Source organism: Homo sapiens, chromosome 2, assembly GCF_000001405.40.
Source record: "Homo sapiens chromosome 2, GRCh38.p14 Primary Assembly".
NCBI lineage: Eukaryota > Metazoa > Chordata > Mammalia > Primates > Hominidae > Homo > Homo sapiens.
Window position 1 is genome coordinate 127,118,713 of NC_000002.12, and position 17,130 is coordinate 127,135,842.

Genomic DNA, 17,130 nt, shown 5'->3' on the forward strand with positions numbered 1-17,130 from the left:
TTGTTCATTCTAAGTAAACATCTGACAATGCTCAATTCAATGGGTTCTGTCCCACAACACAACAATGCTGCCTTAAATAAAAAATGCCTGAAAATATATGCATCTCCACTCACAATCCTGTCTGTGCAAGAAACACTTGACTTCCTCGACTCTTGTCTTTCAAGTCCTTCTTTTTTTTTTTTTTTTTTTTTTTTAATTTATTTTTTTATTGATAATTCTTGGGTGTTTCTCACAGAGGGGGATTTGGCAGGGTCATGGGACAATAGTGGAGGGAAGGTCAGCAGATAAACAAGTGAACAAAGGTCTCTGGTTTTCCTAGGCAGAGGACCCTGCGGCCTTCCGCAGTGTTTGTGTCCCTGATTACTTGAGATTAGGGATTGGTGATGACTCTTAACGAGCATGCTGCCTTCAAGCATCTGTTTAACAAAGCACATCTTGCACCACCCTTAATCCATTTAACCCTGAGTGGACACAGCACATGTTTCAGAGAGCACAGGGTTGGGGGTAAGGTCACAGATCAACAGGATCCCAAGGCAGAGGAATTTTTCTTAGTGCAGAACAAAATGAAAAGTCTCCCATGTCTTCTACTTTCTACACAGACACAGCAACCATCCGATTTCTCAATCTTTTCCCCACCTTTCCCGCCTTTCTATTCCACAAAGCCGCCATTGTCATCCTGGCCCGTTCTCAATGAGCTGTTGGGCACACCTCCCAGACGGGGTGGTGGCCGGGCAGAGGGGCTCCTCACTTCCCAGTAGGGGCGGCCGGGCAGAGGCGCCCCTCACCTCCCGGACGGGGCGGCTGGCCGGGCGGGGGGGCTGACCCCCCCCCACCTCCCTCCCGGACGGGGCGGCTGGCCGGGCAGAGGGGCTCCTCACTTCCCAGTAGGGGCGCCCGGGCAGAGGCGCCCCTCACCTCCCAGACGGGGCGGCTGGCCGTACGGAGGGCTGACCCCCCCACCTCCCTCCCGGACAGGGCGGCTGGCCGGGCGGGGGGCTGACCCCCAACCTCCCTCCCGGATGGGGCGGCTGGCCGGGCAGAGGGGCTCCTCACTTCCCAGTAGGGGCGGCTGGGCAGAGGCGCCCCTCACCTCCCAGACGGGGCGGCTGGCCGGGCGGAGGGCTGACCCCCCCACCTCCCTCCCGGATGGGGCGGCTGGCCAGGCGGGGGGCTGACCCCCCCACCTCCCTCCCGGACGGCACGGCTGGCCAGGCGGGGGGCTGACCCCCCCCCCCACCTCCCTCCCGGACGGGGTGGCTGCCGGGCGGAGACGCTCCTCACTTCCCAGATGGGGTGGCTGCCGGGCGGAGAGGCTCCTCACTTCTCAGACGGGGCAGCTGCCGGGCGGAGGGGCTCCTCACTTCTCAGACGGGGTGGTTGCCAGGCAGAGGGTCTCCTCACTTCTCAGACGGGGCGGCCAGGCAGAGACGCTCCTCACCTCCCAGACGGGGTCTCGGCCGGGCAGAGGCGCTCCTCACATCCCAGATGGGGCGGCGGGGCAGAGGCGCTCCCCACATCTCAGACGATGGGCGGCCGGGCAGAGACGCTCCTCACTTCCTAGATGTGATGGCGGCTGGGAAGAGGCGCTCCTCACTTCCTAGATGGGATGGCGGCCGGGCGGAGACGCTCCTCACTTTCCAGACTGGGCAGCCAGGCAGAGGGGCTCCTCACATCCCAGACGATGGGCGGCCAGGCAGAGACACTCCTCACTTCCCAGACGGGGTGGTGGCCGGGCAGAGGCTGCAATCTCGGCACTTTGGGAGGCCAAAGCAGGCGGCTGCTCCTTGCCCTCGGGCCCCGCGGGGCCCGTCCGCTCCTCCAGCCGCTGCCTCCCGGGCGGCGCTCGCCGGCGCCTCAAGTCCTTCTTTCACCCTAGGTCACTTCTGCCCCCTGCCCCCATTCTTAGAAAGCGCTGGTCCTCCTGTCTGTCCCCCAGCCGATACTCCATGCATGGCGTGTTGGGGTGCTCCTTCCCTCCTCGGCCCTCCCTCAAGCTCAAGTGTCACCTATACAGCTGCACCCCAGGTCTGTTTCAGGGTATGGGGAAACAGTCTACATCCTGCAGGCCTTAGGATGCTCAACTCTGGTGGGTGTCTCAGGTAGGTGGCAGACAGACATAAAGAGTCATTTTGCTTCTCCTTCCCGTTTGCGGTTGGGGACAACACTTTGAGGCTTCCTGAAGCCTACTGCCCAGACTGGGGCAGATGTTTCTCCTGCCTTCTGTTCTGTAGGACTGCTGGGGGCAGCTCCAGGCAAGGTCTTCTCTGCTCTCAGATTCTCCTAATCCTAGCTGGGATTTCTGTCGCCCTCTCCCCACCCCTGGGGATTGGTCCTGGGTCTAGGGTCTCTCCTGGGAACCTAGAAACATCCAAGTTTCCTTCACTTCCTCTCTGATTCTTAAAGATCCTGCCCTCAGGATGCTGTTCTGGTCAGGCAGGAGGAAACCTTCCTCTGGGATAACTCATCCGGCATTGTCCCCAGTCTGCTGGTTTATAAACCGGGCCGGGCTTTTAGAAGTCAAAAGCCAAGATTTTGACCCATTCGTGGAGGTCATGAAGGCAGAGAGCTCATTGGCTTGAACAAGGAGGGGAGAGGTAACAGGAAACGTGGAGGGGAGACCACTTGTTGGCTAGCATTCCAAATACTATTCTGTGTATAGCTATATTTACATATGATCATTTATGCAAACCCCACTGTAAACTCAAAGATGAAGGTGTTTTTTGCAGTCTAGTTAGGACCTAGTGCAGGCTGCCTCTAAGTGCAAAAACAGCTGTTTGATGTGAATTCTGCCTCCTAGGCAGTAAAATCTCCCCAGTCAGCATTCACTGAGCCCTGAGCAAGCCTGGACACTGGGGACATGCACAGAAGAGAATCCATTAAGTCCCTGCCCACATACAGCCCACAGTCTGGAAGGAGACCGAAGATCATCATTAACAGAATAAAGTGCTGCCTGTTGCCAAAATTCCTACAAGTAGGAGAGCACCCTGAGCAAGGGTAGACATCTAAAATTGGCCCACAAACTTAGCATCTTTAGAGGAAAGCAACTGCCTCGAGTGAGACCTCTCCGGGGCCTCACTCACTGCAGCTGAATCTGCCTCGGGGTGGGGCGGTCCCTGCAGCCAACACTGTGACTTACCATTCTAAAAGGCTGGCCCTCATGCAGGCCATCTGCAGGAACTAAGGCATTCCCAAGCAGTGAGCCTGCTCTTGGCGGCGCATCTTGGAGAGTTATGAGGCAGCTCAGGCCTAGGCCCACCCTGCCCCAGGGTCCAGGTGGGGTCATTTTGGCAGCCTGGAGGGAGCTGGGTTCCAGGATTCTTGGAGGAGGCCTGGCTGGGGCACTTAGCTCCCATGGTGCTCTGTAATGCACTCCCCATTAGAGCTGCATGTGTCGACACCTCCCTCCAAGGCTATCTTCCTGAGCTGTGCTTATGCCCGTAGCCTGCCCTCCTTTAGGCCTCCCCACCTCTTGCCTGCGTTGCTCTCTTGCTTGGACCCTGGCCTTCCCCCTCCAACCTGCCCTCTCCTCTGCTCAGAGGAGATTTTTCTAAAATGTCCATCTGACCATCCAACTCTCCTGCCCCTCACTGCCTCCCCAAGGAGATTTTAAGATAAATTCCTAATATCTTAGATTAGTACAGAGCCCTTCCTCCCACACGCCCACCCCCAGCCCCATCCTCGGCCCAGCTCCCTCCTATTTCTGCTCCTCCCTCTCCCTGCACATCAGCTTCAAGCCAGCCCCAGCCCTGCCTGCCAACCCTCACCTGCAGGCCTCGGCACAAGCTGCACTTTGCCTCACTGGTTCCCACTCATCTTTCTAGACCCAGTTCAAGATCCTTACCATCCTGGAAGCCTTTCAGGTTCACCAGCTGGGCCAGCACGATTGTCATGAGGTCTCACAGCACTTGTTCCACCCTATTAGCCCCTGTCTCTCCCAACAAGGAGGTGCCGCCTTATTTATCACTGATCTCCATCTGGCGCGTGTGCACTCAAATGTGCATCCTGGGAGAAGCAGAGGAGGAGAGCTGGAGGGAGGGGGGAAGGAAGGTTGTTCTCCTTGCTCCTTCTCTGACTGGATGAAGCCCTTCTCTGGGGAGGGTGCTGCTCATTTCCCCAGTGCACCCTCAACAGCAACCAGACAGCGGGCCTTGGAGGCGGACAGAGATGCACAGAAAGGCCCATATGCTCTATTATCTTTTTTTTTCTGAAGAAGTCTTTATTTCATTTATTTATTTTTTGAGATGGAGTCTTGCTCTGTTGCCCAGGCTGGAGTGCAGTGGCACAATCTAGGCTCACTGCAACCTCCGCCTCCCAGGTTCAAGTGATTCTTCTGCCTCAGCCTCCCGAGTAGCTGGGACTACAGGTGCTGCACCACCACGCCCAGCTAATTTTTGTATTTTTACAAAATACAAAAGGTTTCACCTTTTGTGAAACAGGGTGAGACCGGGTTTCACCATGTTGGCCAGGCTGGTCTGGAACTCCTGATGTCAGGTGATCCACCCGCCTCAGCTTCCCAAAGTGCTGGGATTACAGGTGTAAGCCACCGTGCCCAGCCAAGAAGTCTTTATTTTGCATTATATTTTTTTACTTTTTATTTTGAAATAATGACAAATTCACAGAAAGTTGCAAGATAATATAGAGAGATCCCGTGTACCATTCACCCAGGGTCCCCCAATGGTGATGCCTTGCATAACTACAGTATCATATAAAACCTAGGGATTTGACATTGGTACAATATGTGTGTATAGGTCTTTGTCATTTTATCAAATGTGTAGATCATTTCCCAGACCAAAATGAGGGTTGGGCTGCTATGTCTTGTGGCCCAATAATGAGATGCAGATGAACTGGGGAGGAAGAAAGTTGGTTTTTTTTGTTTTGTTTTGTTTTTTGAGATGGAGTCTCGCTCTGTCTCCCAGGCTGGAGTGCAGTGGGTCAATCTCCGCTCACTGCAAGCGCTGCCCCCCGGGTTCATGCCATTCTCCTGCCCCAGCCTCCTGAGTAGCTGGGACTACAGGCACCCGTCACCATGCCTGGCTAATTTTTTTGTATTTTTAGTAGAGATGGGGTTTCACCATGTTCACCAGGATGGTCTCAATCTCATGACCTCGTGATCCACCTGCCTCAGCCTCCCAAAGTGGGAAGAAAGTTTTTATTTCTGCAACCGGTTACAGGGAGAAGGTCTGGAAATTATCACCAGACCAACTCAAAATTACTAAGTTTTCCAGAACTTATATACCTTCTTTTTTTTTTTTTTTTTGAGATAGAGTCTCTCTCTTTTCATCTGGGCTAGAGTGCAGTGGCACGATCTCAGCTCACTACAACCTCTGCCTCCCAGGTTCAAGCGATTCTCCTGCCTTAGCCTCCTGAGCAGCTGGGATTACAGGCATCCATCACCACACCTGGCTAATTTTGTACTTTTAGTACAGACAGGGTTTCACCATGTTGGCCAGGTTGGTCTTGAACTCCTGACCTCAGATGATCGACCCACCTCGGCCTCCCAAAGTGCTGGCATTACAGGCGTGAGCCACTGTGCCCAGCCTACCTTCTAAGCTATATGTCTATGTGTAAGTGTGCATTCACCTAAAGACATAAGTGATTAACTTCTTTTAATCTATAACTAAGGTCTGAGTCCTGAAGACCTTCCTCTGGAGCCTCAGTAAATTTACTTAATCTAAATGGGTCCAGGTGCTGGGGTGATTACCCTTATCTTGTCTCCTGCTGAATCATGGAGGTTTGGGGAGTTCCTTCAGACTCTCAATAAGCTTGTTTGTGGGGCCTGGGGAGTTTCTTCAGACCCACGATAAAACGTATTTAATCCTAAATGGGTCCTGTTAAGAATTCCTTCATTACGTTGTCATGCGTTAAGGCCCAGGAAAGACCTAGGCAAAACTCTTGGTGGGCTCTTTGTTACATTCCAGCCTTTTCATAAGGGCACTGGCTTTTAATATTTAACTTAACCACTCAGTACTGAAACAGTTGTTACGGAGGCCTGCATTAGTGAGACCTGGCCTGCCACAATAGTAACCACTGCCACGATGGAAATACCACCCCGCTAGGTGACTGGTGCTACCCCTCAGTCACATCCGCCCCTACCACCCTTCACCTGGCAACCACTCACCTGTTTTCCATTTCTAAGATTTTGTCATTTCAAGAATGTTACATGGGCTGGGCATGGTGGCTCACGCCTGCAATCCCAGCACTTTGGGAGGCTAAGGTGGGCAGATCGCCTGAGGTCAGGAGTTCTAGACCAGCCTTGCCAACATGGTGAAACCCCATCTGTACTAAAAATACAAAAATTAGCCGGGCATGGTGGGGCATGCCTGTAATCCCAGCTACTCGGGAGGCTGAAGCAGGAGGATTGCTTGAACCTGGGAGGCAGAGGTTTCAGTGAGCCAAGATGGCACCACTGCATTCCAGCCTGGGCAACACAGCAAGATTCTGTCTCAAAAAAAAAAATGTTGTATGGCCAAGAGCAGTGGCTTGTACCTGTAATCCCAATACTTTGGGAAGCCAAGGCAGGAGAATCACTTGAGCCCAGGAGTTCGAGACCAGCCTGAGCAACATAGTGAGACCCTCACCTCTACAAAAAAAATTAAAAATTAGCCAAGTATGGTGGCATGCACCTATAGTCTCAGATACTCAGGAAGCTGAGGTTGGAGGATCCCTTGAGCCCAGGAGTTCAAAGTTACAGTAAGCCATGATCATGCCACTGCACTTCAGCCTGGGCAACAGGGCAAGACCTTGTCTTAAAAAAAAAAAAAAAAGGTTGTATGATGGAATCATAAAGTATGTGGTTTCACTGAAAACCACACCTTTAGAGCCATCCAAGCTCCAAGCTGTTGCATCTATTAGTAGTTCATTCTTCAGCATTGCTGAGTAGTATTCCATGGTGTAGGTGAATGGATCACAGTTTAACCATTCGCCTATTGGGAAACATGTACATTGATTACAATTTTTGACTATTGCAAGTAAAACTACTTTGAACAATGGTGTACACACCTTTGTGTAAACATAGTTTTCATTTCTCTAGATAAACACCCAAGAGTACAATTGCCAGATCGTATCACAAGTATATGTTTAGTTTTCTAAGAAATTGTCAAACTCTTTTCCAGACTGGCTGTACCATTCTCCATTCCCACCAGCAAAGTATGGGAGATCTAGTTTCTCTGTATCCTCACCAGCATTTGGTGTTGTCACTGTTTTCCATTTTAGCTGTTCTAATAAGCATATAGTGATATCTCATCATGGTCTTAATTTGCATTTTCCTAATGGCTAGTGATGCTGAACATCTTTTTATGTGCTTGTTTGCCATCTGTATCTCCTCTTCAGTGAAATGTCTCTTTATGGCTTCTGCCTAACTTCTAATTGGATTGCTTCTTTTTTTCACTGTTGAGTTTTGAGAGCTCTTTATGTATTCCAGATAATAGTCCTTTGTAGGAAATGTGGTTTGCAAATATTTTCTCACAGTCCGTAGCTTGTCTTTTTATCCATCTAAGAGGGTCTTTTGCAGAGCAAAATTTTTTAATTTTGATGAAATTCAATTGATCCATTTTTTTTCTTTCAAGGATTGTACTTTTGATGTCATATTTAAGAACTCTTCACCAAGCCTTGGGTCCAAAAGATTTTTCCATATATTGCCTTCTAAAAGATTTCTAGTTTTATAACTTACGTTTAATCTATGATCCATTTTGAGTCAGCTTTTGCAACAGATGTGAAGTTTAGGGCAAGGTCTATTTTTTTGCCTCTCAGTACCTAATTGCTCCAGCACCAGTCATTGAAATGACTATCATCCTTCCATTGATAACCTTTGCACCTTTGTCAAAAATCAATTGGCAACACTTCTGAGGGGCTATTTCTGGATTCTCTTTTTTGGGAGTGGTTCTCTATTTTGTTGCTTTATCTGTGTGTCTGTTCCTTTGCTGATCCCATGTAGAGTTAATTACTGTACCTATATGAAAGCAGGTAGAGAGGTTTTCCCCAATTTATTCTTCCTTTTTGAAGTTGCTCTAGCTATTGTATAATAAAGAATTTGATTGGCTTTTGTCCCTGGTTCCTGGGAAGGAGACTAACTACTCAGAATTTTCCAAGGAACGGGAATGTCTGTTATTTACAAGCGCCTTGGATCCCACCTGGGTTTATGACGAGAGATGAAATGACTCAGGATGGGGCTGGTCACCAGAAAGGCCAACCATGTGGTTAGAGGGTCCAGACTTTGAGCCAGCCCAAACTCCACAGAAAGGAGGGGGCTGGAGAGTGCATTCAATCAGATGATCCATATTCAATCAGTCATGCCTGTGTGATGAAACTTCCAAAAAAAGTCTGGACACTGAAGCTCAGTGGAGCCTTCAGATTAGTTAACACACTGGCGTACCAGGATGGTGATGCATCTTGATTCCACAGGGAGAGAGCACAGAAGATCCACATCCAGGACCTCCCAGGCTTCTCCGCATGTGTCTCTTCATGTGGCTTTTCCTGATTTGTATCCCTTATTTAAAAAACAGTAATCATAAATATAGTGGTTTCCTGAGTTCTGAGTGTCATTTTAGTGAATTCTTGAACCTGAGGAGGTCATGGGAACCCCCCAGGTTTGTAGCCAGTTGGTCAGAAGTGCAGGTGTCCTGGGAACCCCACTGTGGCTGGTGTCTGGAAGAAAGCAGTCCTTGTTGAGGTCCATGCCCTTTAATTTGTGAGATCTGTGCTAACTCTGGATAGCTTCTGCCAGAATTGTCCTGCAGTACACCTCACTGGTGTCAGAATAGTTTGGGTTGGTTGAATGGAATAACTTTTCCAGGCCCTATGCCTTTCCATATAAATTTTAGGATAATCCTAAATTTTATATTTACAAATATAAAATTTGTATATATTTACAAAATTTTTGGCTATATTTACAAAATTTCTGGCTGGGATTTTTACAGGAATTGCATTGTATATCAGTCTGGGGAGAACTGACATCTTTTCAGTGTTGAATCTTCCAACCTATGAATACTATATATCTTCCATTTATTTAGATCTTTTTTGACTACTTTCATTAGAATTTGTTATTAGATGATCAAGTCATTTACAGATAGGGATAGTTTTATTTTTACCTTTCTTATCTGTATGCCTTTAATTTCCTTTTCTTGACTTACTGCCCTGGCTAGAGCTTCCAGTACTATGTTGAATAGCACTGGTAAGAGTGGGCATCCTTGCCTGGTTCCCAATGTTAAGGAGAAAGCACCAGTCTTACACCAAGTATATTAGCTGTAGGTTCCTTGTAGATGTTCTTTATCAAGTTGAGGAAGTTCTCCTAAATTCCTAGTTTTCTGAGAGTTTTCATCATAAACTAGTGTTGAATTTTGCCGAATGCTTTTTCTAGATCAGTCGATAGGATCATATGATTGAATATTAAACCAGCCTCGCTGGAATAAATCCCTCTTGGTCATCATGTATAACCTTTGTATATATTGCTGAATTCTATTTGCTAATATTTTTGTTAAGAATTTTCGCATCCATATTCATGCCATATATAATCATCTAAACATTTAACATCAGTATTTTCTGAATGAATCATTTGAGAAGATCTTTTTTGTAGGTTAAGTCAATGAACACTGGATTAAACACTCAAGAGTTTATTTTTCCCATATAATAATAAGTCTGCAGAAAGGTAGCCTTGGGCAGATGCAATTGTGCAGGGGTGTCATCAAGGACAGAGGTTCCTTCCGTTTTCCAACTCAGTCTCTCTGAGAATAGTTTGTGAGAGATTTGTCCTCACAGCTGCAGGACAGCTGCTGTGCCTCCTGCATTAATTAGGGAGGAGGGGAGGGGCAAAAAGTAAAGAGCTGAAGCGACAGCCCCCCAAGGGTGTCCCTTGTACAGACATCCAGAAGCCCCGCCCAATGAGTGACTTTTGCCTTCATCCTGTTGGCCAGAACTGGGTCACGCACCATGCTTAGCAACAAGGAGATCTGGGGAAGTGAGTATTAAAGCAGACACAGCACTCTGACCACCCTGCTGCCAGTGTGGAGGCAAAGCAGGCAACCGGTGCAGGCGCCCTGGATTACCTGCCTGACCACGTGACAGTGAGGTCCTGTTGGCCACATCTGTGTGGAATTTCAGTTTCTGTTTAAGATCATACTGGCACCGAGTAGAATTCTGTGTCTCCAGGTAAATGTAAGAGAACAGGGCAGATTTCATAATGTCAAAGTTGGCGTCAAGTCAAGAGAAGGCCAAACAACTTCATAATGCCCCATAAAAAAAAAGCTTCACAATAGTTTGGGTAAAGTAGTTGGAGAATTGAGTCTTCTCCTGACACCAAGTTCTATGGGCATGCCAGCTAAACCTGTAAATTAAAACAGAGCAACAGCCTGTACCCCTGCAAAGAGGATAATAAAGCAATATCCTTCATCACATTCAATTTATGTTGTTAATTTTATTTTATGGGTTTTACCGATTGTTTTCCAACTTTTCCTAATGGAAAATTTCAAACATAAATAAATGGAAAAAATAACACAACAAACCCTCATATACCCATGATCTCCATGCAACAGTTGTGACCACTTTGTCACACATATCTGTGGTGAAAAATTATATATTTATTATAAATATATATACGAACCATTTGAAAGTTCATTGCAGGTGACACTTTACTCCTAAAGATTTCAGTGTGGGCTGGGTGTAGTTGCTCATGCCTGTGATCCCAGCACTTTGGGAGGCCAAGGCCGATGGATCACCTGAGGTCAGGAGATCAAATCCAGCCTGGCCAACATGGCAAAACCCCGTCTCTGCTAAAAAATACAAAAATTAGCTGGATATGGTGGTGTGCGCCTGTAATCTCAGCTACAGAGGAGGCTGAGGCAGGAGAATCACTTGAAGCTGGGTGGTGGAGGTTGTAGTGAGCCAAGATTGCACCACTGCACTCCAGCCAGGGCAACAAAGGGAGACTCCGTCTCAAAATAAATAAATAAATACATAAATAAATATTTCAGTGTGCAACTCCTAAGAATAAGAATTTCTACATAAACACACTGCCATTATCACGCCTTAGAAATTTAACAATAATATATCTATTATCTAATATCTAATCCACATTAAATTTAATTTAACTTTACCAGTTGTCACACTGGTGTTTTTAACGGTGTTAAAAACAGGATTCAGTTAAGGTTCACACATTGGATTTGTTGCTAGGATATTTTAGGCTGTTTTGAACAGCCCCCACCAGCTTTTGAGACGATATGATATTACCTGTTTGAGGAAACCAGGTCAGTTTTCTTAAAGAACGTTCCATATTCTGAATGTTGTTTCCTTGGCCTTTGGTTTAACTTGTTCGCCTGGACTTATCATAAACTGGAAGTCAGCTCTGGATCCTTTTCAGCAGACACTCTTCACACTGCTTTACAACAGGAGGTGCCTAACGTCAGCTGGTCCCGTTGTTCATGAGATTCGGGTTGATCACTTGGCAGAGTTGGTGACAACCTGCTCCTTCCGTCGTCAAGGTTTATTTTCATCTCGCAATTAGCAGATGAGCTGCGGGATGGTCATTTGGCACCACGCAAGTATCCTGACCCCCAGCAAGCTCCAACTAGTGGCTTAACCATCCCTGGATGATCGATTTCCAAATCAGTTATTTCACTGGGGTTTGCCAAGTGGTTATTTTCTAATTCTGTCAATCTTTCTAAAAAGCATTCTTGCTAAAAAATAGTATAAATGCTTAATTCCTTCTCTTTATTTCCAGAATACGGAATTGATAGAATAGTCATCGATGTGGGCAAACAAGACGGATTTCCCCTCTTTCTTTCTCTCTCTTTCTTTTTAAACTTGCTATGGACTCATGGATTTCTATTTATTCGATGTTTCCAATCAATTCAGTCCTTATTCTTTTTGATGCTCATATTATATTATCTCAAATCTGGCCAGCAGGAGTCCCTTCTAGCTGGCTCCTTGTCCTTTTGGTATGCCCCTATTAGTCTTTGAAAGTGATTTAGTGAGGGTTCCCTAGAGAAACACAACCCAAAGGAGGGGCATGTGAGTGTGTGTGTTTGTGTGTGAGATATATATATATATATATATACATACACACATATATATACACATTCTTTTTAAGGACTTGCTTCACACATTTGTGGAGGCAGGCGAGTCTGAAATCTGTAGGGCAGGCCAGCATGCTGGACATGCAAGCAAGGTTTCTATGCTACAATCAGGCAGAATGGCTTCTGCTCCAGGAAACTCCAGTTTTGGCTCTTGAGGCCTTCAACTGATAGGATGAGGTCCCCTCACACTATCAAGGGTAAACTCCTTTACTTGAAGTCAACAGATTGTAGCTGTTAATCCATCTACAAAACACCTTCATGGCAACATCTAGACTCCTGTTTGACAAAACTACTGGGCACCATAGTTTAAGGTGACACACGAAATTTTCCAACACAGAATGGTCCCTTTTTTCCTGACATACTTCAGGTTCATTCATATAGGTTAAATATTTGTGTCCCCTGAAAAAATTCACATGTTAGAATCCTATCACCCCATGGAGAGGATTTGTAGATGAAGTCTTTAGGAGGTGATTAGGTCATGGGATTAGTGCCTATACAAAAGAGACCCCAGAGAGCTCCCTTCTGCCTTCTGCCATCTGTGAAGGCACAGAGAGAAAACGGCCATCTAGGAACAAGAAAGTGGGTCCCCACGAGACACCAAACCTGCTGGTGCCTCGATTTTGGACTTCCCAGCCTCCAGAACTGTAAGAAATAAATATATGTTGTTTATGAACCACCCAGTCCAGGTAGTTTGCAGAAAATTGACATTTGAAAAACCATGTTAATATTTCCAATTCAGCTTTAATATTATAGGGTTTCTTCCCCTTTAACGTTTTTTTAATTTTATCTTCATATATCTTTTCCTTTAAGCTGAAAAAATCTTAGTTTCAGTTAGTATTTTTACTTATTTACCTTCACCTACAACATGCATCAAATAGTTCCAAAATTACAATACTGATATTACTCGGAGGACTAAAACTATCAAGCGAAGTTTAAGACTTGTTTTTCATTTTTTTGACCTTAGAATATGTCAGAATACTAAACCTGCTGAACAAAGACGAAAAAAAAACAATAAAATAAAAGAAAGCCTTATGCCTGCTAGTGATACTATAAATTGTTCATTTTCATTAAAACATTATCAGCCCTCATGTTAAATTAATGTTGCTATTTTGTATTTTATTGGTTTTGTATAATTGTTGATATATGATTTCTAAATGTGCTTTGGTTTTATAGTATTATAAGAGCTATCAGCATAAGAAGTGTATGCTTAATTTTATATTTGTATACATTCAAAAGACATAATAATCAAAACCATTTAGGCCATAGTTTCAAGTAAACATGTCGCAGTGAAGTTTGTTGTAGAGTCTTCTTTCCTGAATAGCAAGAAAATGTACAAAGTTAGTTTTTAAAAATTTACAAATTTAGTTTCTTAATATTTCTATAAATGAGTTCTTTATAAGAAGCTTGTATCATTCTCACAAATTAAAAATAATAATATTTTAGCAAGCTATTTTTAAAATATAATTTAAGCCCACACTTCCACATTTGGGGTAAGTGATAATTTTTTCCTCTGAAAGACAACAAATACTAACACAGGCCCAGACTTGGCTTTTGTGAGTCAATTAGTGATCCGAAGGTGAGTGGTATTTAAACGTATGATGAGGGTAAGATTTGATTTATTTTACATATATATCTTCTGGTATCTGTGTGTGTGTGTGCTTTTTTTTTTTTTTTTTTTTTTTTTTTTTTTTTTTTTGCAATTTTGGATAATACATGTCCAATTTTAGAAAGAGCAGAAAACACAGACAAGCTCAGTAAAGAACAGATGTTCTGATTCAGGGCTAATAATAAATCAGCACCTCCCTAGAAAGAAAAGGCAGAGGCTGGGCGTGGTGGCTCACGCCTGTAATCCCAGCACTTTGGGAGGCCGAGGCGGGCAGATCACGAGGTCAGGAGATCGAGACCACGGTGAAACCCCGTCTCTACTAAAAATACAAAAACTTAGCTGGGCACTGTGGCGGGCGCCTGTAGTCCCGGCTACTCGGGAGGCTGAGGCAGGAAAATGGCGTGAACCCGCGAGGCGGAGCTTGCAAGTGAGCTGAGATGGCGCCACTGCACTCCAGCCTGGGCGACAGAGCGAGACTCCATCTCAAAAAAAAAAAAAAATAGAAAAGGCAGAGAGGAAGGAGCCCCGATGCCCTGACGCGTTCCCATGACAGAGTGAAGGGCTTGCCCATGCTGCCCTGTGCCCCCCAACACCCTGGCCCAGCCATGGCCGCTACAGCCATCCTGAGCCTGACAGCCACACCAAGCGTGCTGAGCGCTGCTGCTCCGGCCACACACGTAACCACAGCCTGCTCACTTCCATCTGGTTGACCCAGCACGGGGGATGCTTCAATCTAACATTTTTCAGTTCCAGCTGCCTACAAATATATCTCTATCAACGCATATATCCTCAGATACATGCGTATTTTTTCTTTTTGGCCTTCGCTGTGTTCTTTCCCTCTGGCCTCCACACAGGACCTCACGAAGCCAGACCGTAAGATCTACAGGGGCTCTCAGACACCACCCCATCCAACAGCTCGGTAAGGAGACAAAAGCCAAGGTCCGGGGAGGGAACTAGCTGAGGGTCACACCTCTAATAACACAAAGAGCCTGCCCCAGGCCCAGATTCTGCACTTGGCTTTCCTCTTTCGTGTACTGTATTCCAGGCACATTCCTGATAAGCCCCCAAAATGCCTCTACCCCACAGTCCCATCAGAAAGAGGAGGGCAGGAGAACCTAAGGCAGACTGCAGAGAGAAAAGTGAGGATTTCATCCCCTGTCCCTTGCCACCTCCCCTAAAGAGCCTGGGAAAGGTAGAGACTTGCTTTACTAGCTTCTCCTGCAACAGAGTGGACATTTGACACAGTTCTGGGAAATGAGACTTGAGTGAAAATCTTCCAGAATTGGGAAAGGTTTGTTTTTTCTTTCCTTTTTTTTTTTTTTTTTTTAAGAGGCAGGGTCTTACCCTGTGACCCAGGCTGGAATCCGGTGGCACAATCCTGGCTCACTGCAGCCTCGACCTCCCAGGCTCAAGCAATCCTCCTACCTCAGCCTCCTGAGTAGCTGAGAACACAGGTGCATGCCACCAAACCCAGCTAATTTTTTTTATTATTTTTTGTAGAGATGGGGGTCTCACTAAGCTGTCCAGGCTGGTCTTGAACTCCTGGCCTCAGGTGATTCTGCCACCTTGGCCTCCCAAAGTGCTAGGATTGCAAGTACGAACCACCACACCTGGCATGCTTTTCTTGATTAAAGGGAAATATGCAGCTGGCACCTTCTCTTCCCCCTCCCTGCTGCCTTGAACACAAATGCAATGTCTGGAGCTACAGCAAGTCTTTTGAAATCATGAGGCAACAAGCAAGAGCAAAACCCAAGAGGCCTGCAGACAGGACTCCACGGACATCAGGGCTTGCTGAACCAACATAGCCAGTTCGCTGGTTTGGCCTCTAGCAAAAGAATTTTCTGTTTCTTGTAGCAAAAACCTTCCTAATTGATGCTTACACCCACCACTCACAAACAAATCCACTTAACAGATAATCACTGAACTCTGATGTGAACCTGACTCTAAGGATACAGACATGAATGCATTGGGGCTAGGAGTAAATGAGTGTTCTTCAGACAATTCTGTAAAATAAATATTCTTGTCTGGGGCAATCGATGCATGAGCAGGCCAGCACCAGACATGATTTATGATAGCGCTGAGCCCAGATGATAAGACGTGTCTACAGACCTCTTCCCCTCAGGCTCCTTTCTTCTTTAAATGAGAAGCTCAAAGAAAATCAGTTGGTTGGCAAGGGACACTGAAGTGGAAGGTGGGAAGCGGAGGCACCCCTGGAGGGAGAGAACAGAGTGCTGGGGGACAGAGATGGACAGAGAGAGAGAGTGGGAGACAGAGAGACAGACAGAGAGAGAGAGAAGGAGAGAGTGCGGGAGTGAGCAGCACACACAGGCAGGAGCACAGCAGGTCCAAGGGCCCCCACTCCTGCCTGATAGCCCCCATGAAACCATAACAGGCAAGAAGAGACCCAGAGGTGCTCAGACCCAGAGTGGAGCCACTGGGGACCCACAGTGACCTCCTCCTCAGTCTGTGAGGATGTGGGCCACTCACTGTTCCCTGAAACAAAACAAGTCCCTCTGGTTGCAAACAACAGAAACTGAGGCCAACTCCAGCAGCAAGGGAACAGCCTGCCACGGGTGCAGATGGAATCGAGGGGTCTCCTGGCCCTGCACTCACCTAATTGCCCCCCAACTGCAGCGCCTCATCCCCTAGAGCACCCTCCGAGCAGACACACTTGGAGGGGCAGAGGCTTCTGAGTGCAGGGACCCCCCACCCCCCGCCCCTGAGCCCCACTAAGATGACTTCTTTTATTCCCTATGCATAGCCAGTGACTTACGCTGACTTTTCTGGAAACTGGGACTTTAAATAGGAGTTTTTAAAAAGGAAAGAAATCTCTGTTCTGCTTCTTAAAAACACCCTTTTCCCCTTTTTACTTTCAGAAGAAGGAACCAGAGAAGACTAGAAACAGGATGGAACGGGAAGGTGGAGGGAGAGGCGAAGGGGAAGTCTCGATGCTGACTACAAGGCCCCCTCATCCTCCGGCCTCCGGCTTGCAGGGACTGCCCCTGCCTTGGGAGAGTCCTCACAGGCCACACCTGCCACTGGGCCAGGCCCAGAGCAGACACTCACGACAGATGATAAGAATGACAGCTGCCTGCGTTTGAGCAGGCACTCTAGGTGACTGTTGTACACAGTGCTTTTCAAGCATAATCTACCCTAACCTTCACACCAGCCCTGTGGGGTAGGTGAATCTCACCCCATCTTACAGAGGAGGAAACAGGGGTTTGGAGTGGTTGAGTGACTTGCTGTCAGACAAGTCTAAATCTGACAGCAACGCCTGTGTTTGGATCCCATGCCAGAGACTGCGAGCTAGCCCCAGGCTGGTTCCAGGCTGTACACAGGTTTCACTTGATTCACACACATGGGGCCTCCTCAGAGTTTTAAATTTTATTTGTTGTCAACATTTAGCAATCAGAAGAGTTAACATTAAATCTCACATTTCTGAATTCTCTAGAAAAATTA

General features: G+C 46.8%; 1 long non-coding RNA gene across 2 annotated transcripts in view; it reads left to right on the forward strand.

Annotated features, from left to right (window-relative positions):
* The window catches only part of LOC105373605 (uncharacterized), a 28,682-nt gene extending 11,568 nt beyond the window's left edge, over positions 1-17,114 (forward strand). For both annotated transcript variants that reach the window (XR_923311.4, XR_923310.3), the window contains exons 3-4: positions 14,526-14,590; positions 16,548-17,114. This is a non-coding gene — a long non-coding RNA (uncharacterized LOC105373605). The remainder of the gene's footprint in view (positions 1-14,525; positions 14,591-16,547) is intronic.
* The last annotated feature ends 16 nt before the right edge of the window (positions 17,115-17,130 follow it).